Below are 12,927 nucleotides of genomic sequence, written 5' to 3'. Positions count from 1 at the left end.
CAGTCATTATCTCAGAGTTTGGAAGAAAGTCTGAAATGGGGATTACAGAGCTAAAATCAAGGTGTCCACAGGGCTAGTTCCTTTTGGAGGCTCCAGGGGAGGTCTGTTCCTTGATTTTTCTAGCTTTGAGAAGCTGCTGCCTTCCCTGGTCATGGCTGCGTCACTGTGACCCCTGTCTCCTGTCCCGGTATCACATCTCCTCTGAGGCTGACGCTCCTGCTTCTCTCTTGAGATTACACTGGGCCCATCCCTAATGTCAGATCACCTCCCCCATCTCAAGATCCTTCATCTAATCACATCTACAAAGTCTCTCTCTTTTTTTTTTTTTTTTTGAGATGGAGTCTCACTCTGTCACCCAGGCTGGAGTGCAATGGTGGAATCTTGGCTCACTGCAAGCTCAGCCTCTCTGGTTCAAAAGATTCTCCTGCCTCAGCCTCCCCGAGTAGCTGGTATTACAGGCATGTGCCACCATGCCCAGCTAATTTTTAAAATATTTTTAGTAGAGACAGGGTTTTGCCATGTTGGTCAGACTGGTCTCGAACTCCTGACCACAGGAGACCCACCTGCCTCGGCCTCCCAAAGTGCTGGGATTACAGGCGTTTGCCTAGCCTGCGAAGTTTCTTTTGCTATGTAAAATAACACATCTAGGCCAGGTGCGGTGGCTCACGCCTGTAATCCCAGCACTTTGGGAGGCCAAAGTGGGTGGATCACCTGAGGTCAGGAGTTTGAGACCAGCCTGGCCAACATGGTGAAACCCCATCTCTACTAAAAATGCAAAAATTAGCTGGGTGTGGTGGCACACCCTTGTAATCCCAGCTACTCAGGAGGCTGAGGAGACAGAATTGCCTGAACCCAAGAGGCAGAGGCTGCAGTGAGCCGAGATCGCGCCACTGCCCTATAGCCTGGACGACAGAGCGAGACCCCGTCTCAAAAAACAAATAAACAAAAAAACGCAACAACAACAAAAAACCCACATCCATGGATTCCTCCTGGGGCAGGGGTGAGAGGAGGTCCTTCCCAGCTGGGAATAAGTCAGGAGAAGCTTCAGGGAGGAGGTGGTGCATGAAACAGCTCTTAAAGGATGAGTAGAATTTGACTGCAATATGCTGGGGAGAGAGGGCAGAGCTGTCCTGTTCACCCGCTAAGAGGTCTGTAAGCAAAGGCCTGGAGTTGGGAAAATGCAGAACCCTTCTTGCAGGCGTTGAGTTCGGCTGGGCTGGAACATTAGAGAGGGATTTGGAGGACAGGAGTGAAATGAAATTGGGAAATGGGTTGAGGGGTCCTACTAGGTTTGCAGGCCTGATAACTTTTTTTTTTTCTTTTTTTGAGATGGAGTCACTCTGTCGCCCAGGCTGGAGTCCAGTGGTACGATCTTGGCTCACTGTAACCTCCACGTCTCAGGTTCGAACGATTCTCCTGCCTCAGCTTCCCAAATAGCTGGGACTACAGGCATGTGCCACCATGTCCGACTAATTTTTGTATTTTTAGTAGAGACGAGGTTTTACTCTGTTGGCCGGGCTGGTCTCAAACTCCTAAGCTCGGGTGAACTGCCTGCCTCGGCCTCCCAAAGTGCTGGGATTACAGGCATGAACCACCGCACCAGCCCTGAGAACTTTATTTCCTGGGCAGTTTGAAACCTCGGGGAGGGGCCTGAAAGAGGCAGTGTTTTATTTTATTTTGCTGTTAATTCGCAAATGACATTAAGATTTTTTCCTTTTACAGAACGCATTTCATTTTCGTGGTATAGTATGTGCTTCCAGTGTTGCTACAATTACAACACACGGAAAAGCCAAGCCTGGGACACAGTGACATTGCATTCCAATAAGCAAAAAGTTGACCTCAGAAACGCCCATCATATGTTGACTGCCACAGGATGGGCTTAGAGGAGAAAACATGTTTCCAAGAAATTCTCGCCCAGTGCCTTTTGATATCTTAGGAAAAGGAAACTAGTACTAACAGCCAGCATCGATTGAGCACCAGCATGCTAAACACTGTGCTGGGCACTTGATGTGTGTTATCTGGTTTCATACTCACAACACTGGAAGCAAGTAGAATACTCCAACCAGAAATGCATTCGCTGGAAAAAAAAAAAAATCGGCCATGCGCAGTGCCTCATGCCTGTAATCCTAGCAATTTGGGAGGTAGAGGCAGGTGGATCATTTGAGGTCAGGAGTTCAAGACCAGCCTGGCCAACATGGGGAAACTCCATCTCTACTAAAAATACAAAAAAAATTAGCCGGGGTACTGGGCACCTGTGGTCCCAGCTACTCGGGAGGTTCAATTGCTTGAACCTGGGAGGCGGAGCTTGCAGTGAGCCGAAATCGTGCCACTGAAGTCCAGCCTGGGCAACAGAGCGAGACTCAATGTCAAAGATAAATAAATAAATAAATAAAAAGAAAGAAAGAAAGGCTGGGCATGGTGGCTCACTCCTATAATCCCAGCACTTTGGGAGGCTGAGGCAGGCGGATCACAAGGTCAGGAGTTTGAGACCAGCCTGGCCTATACGGTGAAACCCTGTCTCTACTAAAAATACAAAAATTAGCTGGGTGTGGTGGGAGGCACCTGTAGTCCCAGCTACCAGCTACTTGGGAGGCTGAGGCAGGAGAATCGCTCGAACCCAGGAGGCAGAGGTTGCAGTGAGCTGAGATCACGCCACTGCACTCCAGCCTGGGCAACAGAGCGAGACTCCATCTCAAAAAAATAAAAAATAAAAAAAAATAACATAATGTCATTTGTTAATTAATAGCAAAATAAAGCAAGATCTAAACAGTGCTTAAAGGTTCCAACTTTTTTACCAAATGAAGTACAAAGGGCTTGGGTACTCACAGCCCTGCAGACTTATTTCCCAGCTAATAAAATTGAGGCACAGAGAGGTTAAGCAGCTTGTGTTAAGCCACACAGCTAGCGAGTGGTAATCTGGAGTCGAAGGCCAGCAATGGGCATCTAAAGCTGGCCCTCTTAACCAAGATCCTAACACAGCAAGAACAATCAGTTTGAGTGTTCTGTCTGCACCTTCCAATTAAAATCACTCCTACAGAGATGTGCAGCTTGATGACATCCAGCCTGCTGAGGTTTCACAAAGGGGAGCTACCCACGCAAACTACATCCTGATCAAGAAACAGGACCTGGGGCCAGGTGCAATGGCTCATGCCTGTAATCCCAGCAGTTTGAGAGGCCCAGAGGGGAGGATCGCTTGAGCCCAGGAGTTCAAGACTACTTGGGCAGCATGGCGAGACCCCATCTCTACAAATAATACAAAAATCAGATGGGTATGGTAGTCCCAGCTGTTCAGGAGGCTGAGGCGGGAGGATCACTTGAGCCTGGGAGGTCAAGGCTACAGTGAGCCAAGATCGCACTACTGCACTTCAGCCTGGGCAACAGAGCAAGACCCTGCCTCAAAAAGAGAAACAGGACCAGAGCAGCCCCCTGAACGCTAGCCTCATATATCCACCTTGTCACTAACCTCTTCCCCCTCCAGGGTAACCGCTATCTTGACTTTGAAGAGTTTCAACTTGTTTTGCCCTTGGGGTTGTGTTTCCATGTCCATTGCCAAAGGATTTGAATGTACATTCCAGTGGCAATGACTCCCACCTGTGCACTTGGATGGACATAATGACAATAATAGTAACACTAATTATAAGAAAATTGAGGGGAGGCGTGGTGGCTCAGGCTTGTTGTCCTGGCACATAAAAAGGTGAGGCTAGGTGTTCGAGATCAGCCTGGGCAATGTAGGAAGCCCTTATCTATTAAAAAAAAAAAAATGCTTGGTGTGGTGGCTTATGCCTGTAATCCCAGCACTTTGGGAGGCCAAGATGGGCGGATCGTCTGAGGTCAGGAGTTCGAGACCAGCCTGGTCAACATGGTGAAACCCTGTCTCTACTAAAAATACAAAAAAAAAAAAAAAAAAAAAAAAAAATTAGCCGGGCGTGGTGGCACGCACCCATAGTCCCAGCTACTCAGGAGGCTGAGGCAGGAGAATTGCTTGAACCCAGGAGGCAGAGGTTGCAGTGAGCTGAGACTGTGCCATTGAACTCCTGCCTGGGTGACAGAGGGAGACTCTATCTCAAAGAAAAAAATATACAATAAAATAAAATTGAGGGAGATCATGAAAGACCTGCTAGTTCCTCCTCCAGTCTTCAGGAGGTTATTTGTGTTCCTAAGAGACAATCATCTAGCCTTTATGCAAACATCTTTTCAGGGGTGGTTACTGTGTGAATAAGTGTCACTGAGATATTTCTTTCTCCTTTCTTTGTGAGACAGGGTCTTGCTGTCACCAGGCTAAGGGCAGTGGCGCAATTACAGCTCACTGCAGCCTCAATCTCCCAGGCTCGAGTGATCCTCCCACCTCAGTTTCCCAAGTAACTGGGACTATAGGTGCGTGCTACCATGCCTGGCTAATTTTTTATTTTTTGTAGAGATGGGATCTTGCTATATTGCCTAGGCTGGTCTTGAACTCCTGGACTCAAGCGATCCTCCCGCCTTGGCATCCTGAAGTGCTGGGATTACAAGTGTGAGGCACGGTGCCCAGCCTCACTGAGATATTTCTGTAGGGGGAGATTTATTCCTGGGCAGCAGAAAGAAATATGGAGGAACGGTTAGGAGCCTGAGCTTTGGGGCTGACCAGGCCCTGAGTTCATGCTTTCAACCATTATTTATTAACTGCCCTGATGGGCCAGGAGTGAAAATATAACAATGAGCAGAATGGCCAGGATTCCTGTTGCTAAGGAGGCTCAATCTCCACATGGATATGAATCCTGGCTTCATCATGTACCAACCATGCACTTGACCTTGGTAACAGTCAAGAATCTGTCCCCTCCACTATGACATGAGGATCGTGACACAGTCCTTGCAGAGTCACGTGACATTTGAGGCTTGCAAAGCACTGTGCACATAGTAGGTGCTCAAGAAAAGCTGCGTAGAGTATTGAGATGCAGTAGACAGAGTGATCAAGGCTTCGGCTCTAGGTTTCATCTCATCCAGGTTGGGTGACCTTGGGCAGGTCTCTTAATCTCATCGAGCCTCAGTCTCCTTGACTGGAAGCTGGGAATCACATAGTCCTCCCCTTCTAGGTGGGCAGTTTTATTATCTTTATTTTTTATATTTGAGACAACATCTTGCTCCGTCACCCAGGCTGGAGTGCAGTAGTGCGATCTCGGCTCACTGCAACTTCCACCTCCTGGGTTCAAGCAGTTCTCCTGCCTCAGCATCCTGAGTAGGTGGCATGACAGGTGCCTGCCACCATGCCTGGCTAATATTTGTATTTTTACTAGAGAGGGGGTTTCACCATGTTGGCCAGGATGGTCTTGAACTCCTGACCTCAAGTGGTGAGGTGGGCAGTTTTAAATGAGATGTGGTAATGTAAGGGGTCCTGCGCATTGACTCCCAGCATGCACTTCGTAAACAAAGGCTGTTGAAACTGCATTGTCCAAGAAAATCCGGGTGGCAGGCGGACTCATCTGTGGGTGAGCAAGGCCACACATACTCACTGGTCCTCAGCTACATGCTACATGGAGACAGAGGCCCACTTAAGGCCACCCTGATCTCCCCTTTGAGCCAGCCTGTCTTTCACTGGTTACTGTTGCTGGGAGTCACCACCCACAAGGCATTGGCTAAGGTGCTTGACCTGAAATGTTGAATTATGTTCACTTGAAATATTGGCTGGGTGCTGTGGCTCACGCCTATAATCCCAGCACTTTGGGAGGCCGAGGCAGGTGGATCACCTGAGGTCAGGAGTTCAAGACCAGCCTGACCAACATGGTGAAACCCCGTCTCTACTGAAAATATAAAAATTAGCTGGGCATGGTGCCGGGTGTCTGTAATCCCAGCCACTCGGGAGGCTGAGGCAGGAGAATTGAGCCTGGGAGGTAGAGGTTGCAGTGAGCTGAGATCATGCCACCGCAATCCAGCCTGGGTGACAGAGCAAGTCTCCATCTCAAAAAACAAAACAAAACAAAACAAAACAAAAACACACACCCACACACACAAGAAAAGAAAAAAAAAGAAAGAAAGAAATATAAACACCCAGGCTGGGTAGTGAACAGGCTGCCCATTTCCTATAAACATCCAGCCCCAGAGCATGGAGTGCCTGGTGACCACAGGAAAGTAGGTGTCTGGAATTACTCAAGGCTGACCCTGGACTTTGAGGTTGAGATTACAGAAGGAGCCTCCATGCATTCCCCAGCAGTCTGCTTTCAGGAGAGCCCAATTAGCCACATTCCTTCTGAAGGGACATACGCCAACAGACGTGCTCCTGCCTGGGATCTTCTAGAACTAGGTCAAGTTTGATATTTTGGGGAAGAAGGGAAGATATAGATATATATACACACACACACACACATATATGTGTGTGTGTGTGTGTGCGTGTGTGTGTGTGTGTGGGTATATATAAAAGAAACTTTCCAATGTTCAAATCCTGGTGGGACAATGACTTTGCCTGTTAATTTTATCGGAAAATTAACAGATATCATTAATGAGGGAGACTTGGAATCACTCATTTCTATGCGTGCTTTGTAAAAACTTTTTGCTTTGAAATAATTTTAGATGTACAGAAAGGAGTGTTCTTGTACCCTTCACCCAGCTTCTCCCTCTGTACTCTGCTTTTTTTGTTCATATCTTTGTTATTTTTTACATGTTTTTCTTTTTTAATTTTTTTTAGATGAAGTCTCACTCTGTCACCCAGGATGGAGTGCAGAGGTGTGATCTCGGCTCACTGCAGCCTCTGCCTCCAAGGCTCAAGTGATCCTCCTGCCTCAGTCTCCTAAGATGCTGGGACTATAGGTGCATACCACCACGCCTGGATAACTTTTTGATTTTCTGGTAGGTACCAGGTCTCACTATGTTACCCAGGCTTGTCTTGAACTCCTGGGCTCAAGGGATCCTCCCACCTCAGCCTCTAAAAGTGCTGGGATTATAGGCATGAACCACAACCTCTGGTCCCTCTTTGTTTTTTTTTTAGAGCATTAATTTCTACTGGCCTCTGCTGAAGGCCACAAGCTATTTTCTGCCTTTTTGTTTCTTGCTCCAAAGTCTTTTCTCTAAGTTAGATGTTTGGTCTTAAGCACCTAACCTGCATCTACACTGGAATCACCTGGGTGCTTTAAAAAGGTACAGAAGGCTATTCACTAGCCCATGGTTCTTCTGATTATTAGTATTAATAACATGGTTTTGGTTAGGCCTGGGCAGCCAGGCTAGAGGCCCATTGTGGAGGGATTGTCAAACCTCAGAGGGCTCGGGGTCACCTGGGAAGTGTGTTAGAAACACAAACGCTATCTTTGAGGACTATGATGCACTCAAGCCCTGTGCAGCTTTCAGGATTCAAAGCTTTACTGAATGGCCAGACGCGGTGGCTCACACTTGTCATCCCAGCACTTTGGAAGGCCCAGGCAAGTGGATCACCTGAGGTCAGGAGGTCGAGACCAACCTGGCCAACATGGCGAGACCCTATCTCTACTAAAAATACAAAAATTAGCTGGGCATGGTGGCTCATGCCTGTAATCCTAGCTACTCCAGAGGCCGAGGCACGAGAATCGCTTGAACCTGGGAGGCAGAGCCTGCAGTGAGCTGAGATCGTGCCACTGTACTCCAGCCTGGGCAACACAGTGAGACTCCATCTCAAAAAAAAAAAAAAAAAAAAGCTTTATTGAGAAAGGAGGCACACAAACCACTTTTTGAGAGTTATTGGCTTTGTTTTCAGCTTATCAGGGACCCCAACTTCCCCACGTGTTCTCTTCTGAACCCGCTAGAGTGGAACTGAACATTTCTGGTGTATCTTCCCACCATTAGACAATGGGGTGCCACGGAGAGTCCTAGAGGAGAGGAGAGATGAAGCCAGGCTATGCCACACCAGCATTGGCAAGCTGGCAGCACTGAGAGGATTGGGATGGAGAGATGGGGAGGCAGGAGCTGGTGGGAAGGGGAAACAGGGCTGAATTGCACAATGGTTAGGACTTGGGATTCTGAAGTTAGAGAGTATTGCGTCTATGTCTGAGCTTTACCAACTCTTAGCTGTGTGCTTCTGGGTAAGTGACTTGGCCTCTCTGGGACTTCATTCCTTATCTCTAAAACTGTGGTAGTCCCCAGGCTATCCTCCTCAGGAGTGACGGGGAGGGCTGAGTTGTGGATGGACATGAAACACTTGGGGCAGGGCCCAGCAAACCCTCTTTGTAGTAAATATTGAAGAGTTTGACTGGGAAAGTATTGCCTCTGTCTACCAAAACAATGACTGCCTCACTGTACCATCTCAGCTCCATATACAGTTTCCAAGCGCCCCTCTGGGCCAGGCCCCATGCTAGATGATGAAGACACCACAATTCAGGCAGGCTCCCCGCACTCTGGGCCTTCCCACCCTATGCCACAGATTGGCAAAATGATGCCTGCCAAGCAGAATGGGGCATGAACCCTCAGACGCTGGCCTAGGTCTAAGAGAAAGATGGAGGGAAAACAAATCATTGGGTGTAATTCCTGGGTTTCCTATTTTCCCAGCCAATGCCAGATTGTGAATAAAACTGACTCGGCCGGGCGCGGTGGCTCACGCCTGTAATCCCAGCACTTTGGGAGGCCCATGCTGGTGAATCACCTGAGGTCAGGAGTTCGAGACCGGCCTGGCCAACATGATGAAACCCCCATCTCTACTAAAAATACAAAAAAACCTAGCCGGGGCCGGGCACAGTGGCTCACACCTGTAATCCCAGCATTTTGGGAGGCCGAGGCGGTCAGATCACGAGGTCAGGAGATCAAGACCATCCTGGCTAACACGGTGAAACCCCGTCTCTACTAAAAATACAAAAAATTAGCCAGGCGTGGTGGTGGGAGCCTGTAGTCCCAGCTACTCGGGAGGCTGACACAGGAGAATGGCGTGAACCCGGGAGGTGGAGTTTGCAATGAGCCGAGATCGTGCCACTGCACTCCAGCCTGGGTGACAGAGCCAGACTCTGTCTCAAAAAAAGAAAAAAAAACTAGCCAGATGTGGTGGCATGTGCCTGTAATCCTAGCTACGCCGGAGGCTGAGACATGAGAATCACTTGAACCTGGAAGGCGAAGGTTGCAGTGAGCCGAGATTGCGCCACCACACTCCAACCTGGGTAACGGAGTGAGACTCCATCTCAAAAAAAAAAAAAAAAGAAAGAAAGAGACCATGGAGGAGCTGGCAGCCTGGGGAAGCAAGGCCTCATGGAAGGAAAACCACTGGTGCTTTTTTTCTTGAGACGGAGTCTCACTGTGTCACCCAGGCTGGAGTGCAGTGGCATGATCTCAACTCACCACAGCCTCTGCCTCTTGAGTTCAAGCAATTATCCTATCTCAGCCTCCCAAGTAGCTGGGATTACAGTTGCCTGCCACCACATCCGGCTAATTTTTGTATTTTTAGTAGAGATAGGATTTTCCCATGTTGGCCAGGCTGGTCTTGAACTCCCGACTTCAGGTGATCTGCCCACCTTGGCTCCCCAAAGTGCTGGGATTACAGGCGTGAGCCACCGCGCCCGGCCACCACTGGTGCATTTACCTTCTATGTTCCTCATCCAGAACAGTATTTATTTCCAAGAATCATTGGGAACTTCTGTTTAGAAAAGAAAGGAATCATTAAGATTTAGTGCTGTCAGCAAAATATGGAACCACCCATTCTGTAGCTGAGTCACAGTAAAATCTGCAAGGTATTGCAGACTCAGAGCTCGCGCTTTTCACCCATCGTGTCTCTATTCATGTGTAAATGTTAGAGCAAGGCACTGGCATAGAGTACACATTCAAAAAATAATTGCTGACTAGCTCAAAAGAAATTAATAGTTATATAATTTTTTTTTTTTTTTTTTTTTGTGAGAGGGAGCCTCGCTCTTGTTGCCCAGGCTGGAGTGCAATGGTGCAATCTCAGCTCACTGCAACCGCTGCCTCCCGAGTTCAAGCGATTCTCCTGTCTCAGCCTCCCAAGTAGCTGGGATTACAGGTGCTCACCACAACGCTCAGCTAATTTTTTGTATTTTTAGTAGAGACGGGGTTTCACCATGTTGGCCAGGCTGGTCTCGAACTCCTGATCTCAGGTGATCCACCCGCCTCGGCCTCCCAAAGTGCTGGGAATACAGGTGTGAGCCATCGCGACTGGCCAGTAGTTATATGAAATTAAGAACAAATGCTTATTGAGCAGGTGTTGTGCACGAGACATAATACAGAGCTGTTTACACATTCGTTTAGATCTAATAGCAGCTCCATGAGATACGCTATTGATATGTCCATTTTACAGAAGAGACTGAGACAGACAGGGTCAGTACCTTGGCCAAAGTTACACAGTTTAGGTGCATGTTAGCTAGGATGGTGGAGCTGGGATTCAAAGCCACAGATAGTGGTTTTATTTTTATGTTTAATTATTTTTTTAAAATAAATTAAAATAGAAATGGGATGGGCCGGGCGTGGTGGCTCATGCCTGTAACCCCAGCACTTTGGGAGGCCGAGGTGGGCAGATCACCTGAGGTTGGAAGTTCGAGAACAGCCTGACCAACATGGAGAAACCCCATCTGTACTAAAAATACAAAATTAGCTGAGTATGGTGGCGCATCCCTGTAATCCCAGCTACTCGGGAGGCTGAGGCAGGAGAATTACTTGAACCCAGGAAGTGGAGGCTGTGGTGAGCTGAGATTGCACCATTGCACACCAGCCTGGGCAACAAGAGCGAAACTCTGTCTCAAAAACATAAATAAAAATAAAAATAAAAAATAAAATAAAATAAAATAGAAATGGGGTCTCACTATGTTGCACAGATTGGTCTGGAACTCCTGGGATCAAGCAACACTCCTGCCTCCGCCTCTCAAGGTGTTGGGATTACAGGCATGAGCCACTGTGCCTGGTCAATGGTGATTTTTAATCTCTTAAGCATCTACCAGGTGTCAGGCCCTTGCTAGAACGTCCAATACTTCCAATGATCCCAACAGCTCTCCAGGGGAGGATGAACAAGCTCATTTTACTGATGAGGAAACTGAGGCTGAGAGACTTAACGTAATCCCAGTTTGACCACATTAGAACACAGGAATTAAAGAAAAATTTTGGAAAGCCTGGAGCATTTGGACACAAATCTGTCCACTGTGTGACCCGAAGCCCGCTAAATCCATCCTGGACCTCTTTAAGAACTCGGCTCTTGATTTTGTAGCATAAACTGGCTCAATGGCCAACAGCAAAGAATTTACATCCCACCTCATGAGCCAGACACCTGAACTCAGAATTCGCCTTATTTGTGATGCCCTATATTTATCCATTTCCCTTTCCACTCAGGGAGATCCCTCGGCTTATTGTGTAAGTGGTCTGGCTCTGTCTTGCTTAATGGGCAATATATGCAGCTTTGCTCTTTCCAGCTCTGTACTCTTCTTTTTTTTTTTTTTTTTTGAGACAAAGTCTGGCTCTGTCTCCCAGGCTGGAGTGCAGTGGCACAATTTCAGCTCACTGCAACCTCTGCTTCCTGGGTTCAAGCAATTCTCGTGCCTCAGCCTCCCTAGTAGCTGGGATTACAGGTGTGTGCCACTATGACCAGCTAATTTTTGTATTTTTGGTGGAGATGGGGTTTCGCTATGTTGGCCAGGTTGGTCTCAAACTCCCGACCCTGAATGATCTGCCTGCCTTGGCCTCCCAAAGTGATGGAATTACAGGCATGAGCCACTGCGCCCAGCTACCAGCTCTGTCCATTTCCTGTTTCAACTTTAGGCATGTCTGATTCCTGTACTCTTCCACCTGCTCTTGCCTACCTGATTGAGGATGTATATTATTTTGCAAGATTAACTATTTGAAAAAGAACCTTGGCCTCCTTTTTAGGAAAGTCTGTGCTTGCGGTTGGCTGAATAATGCACCCCTGACAAATATCTCCACATCCAAATCCCTAGAACCTGTTGAATGTGTGACCTGACATATCAAAATGGACTTTGTAGATGTGAATAAGGATTTTGAGATGGGAGATTATCTAGGGATTATCTGAGTGGATTCAATGTAATCACAAGGGTCCTTATAAGAGGGAGGCAGGAAAGTCAGTCAGAGGAGGAGGTGTGAGGATGGAAGGAGAGAGAGAGAGATTGCAAGACAAGATGCTCTGCTGCTGCTTTAAAGATAGAGATGGAGGCCGGGCGCAGTGGCTCATGCCTGTAATCCCAGCACTTTGGGAGCACGAGGTGGGCGGATCATCTGAGGTCAGGAGTTTGAGACCAAAAGTACAAAAATTAGCTGGGCATGGTGTCACATGCCTGTAATCCCAGCTACTCAGGAGGCTGAGGCAGGAGAATCACTGGAACCTGGGAGATGCAGGTTGCCGTGAGTCAAGATTGCACCATTGCACTCCAGCTTGGGCAACAAGAGCAAAACTCCGTCTCAGAGAAAAAAAAAAAAAAAAAAAAAAAAAAGACAGAGATGGAGCCACAAGTCAAGGAAAGCGGCTTCTAGAAGATAGAAAACGGAAGAACGTGGATATTTTTCCTAGAGCCTCCAGAACTGAATGTGGCCCTATGAACACCTTGATTTCAGTTCAGTGAGACCCGATTTAGACTTCTGACCTCCAATCCCTAAAAGAATAAATTTGTGCTGTTTTAAGGCACTGCATTTGGGGTCCTTTGCTGCAGCAGTGGCAGCACACTCGTGGGTGTTCTCACCGTCTCTGATGGTGAAGCTGTGGAGCAGGGCAAGGCCGTCGAACCAATGGTTGTATCTGGACTCCCCAACTGTGTGCATCCCAGGCCCATTGCGGAGCAGGGTTCCCTGCAGCCATGCTGGAATCTTGCCTGAGAAAAGAGAGAATGTTTAGTTTCCCGTTTCCACCTGCAAACCAAAATGCTGGAAGAAATGGTCATGGAAAGGAATTTGAGAGTTGTGGTCCCAGTACCACTCCTTGCATCTGTTCGTTTATTCTACAGTCATTTCCAGAAAGTGTATAATGTGTTGGGCAGTTGGCTAGCACTGAGGATACCAAGA

At 47.7% G+C, this 12,927-nt stretch overlaps 1 protein-coding gene across 6 annotated transcripts in view; it reads right to left on the bottom strand.

Moving 5' to 3' along the window:
* The window catches only part of BCO1 (beta-carotene oxygenase 1), a 52,454-nt gene that overhangs the window by 32,931 nt on the left and 6,596 nt on the right, over positions 1-12,927 (bottom strand). For all 6 annotated transcript variants that reach the window (NM_017429.3, XM_017023287.3, XM_017023286.3 and 3 more), the window contains exon 2: positions 12,609-12,737. In NM_017429.3, coding sequence (NP_059125.2) covers positions 12,609-12,737 — 129 coding nt within the window. The remainder of the gene's footprint in view (positions 1-12,608; positions 12,738-12,927) is intronic.

Source organism: Homo sapiens, chromosome 16, assembly GCF_000001405.40.
Source record: "Homo sapiens chromosome 16, GRCh38.p14 Primary Assembly".
NCBI classification, from domain to species: domain Eukaryota; kingdom Metazoa; phylum Chordata; class Mammalia; order Primates; family Hominidae; genus Homo; species Homo sapiens.
This window is presented reverse-complemented; position numbering and strand designations above follow the sequence as displayed.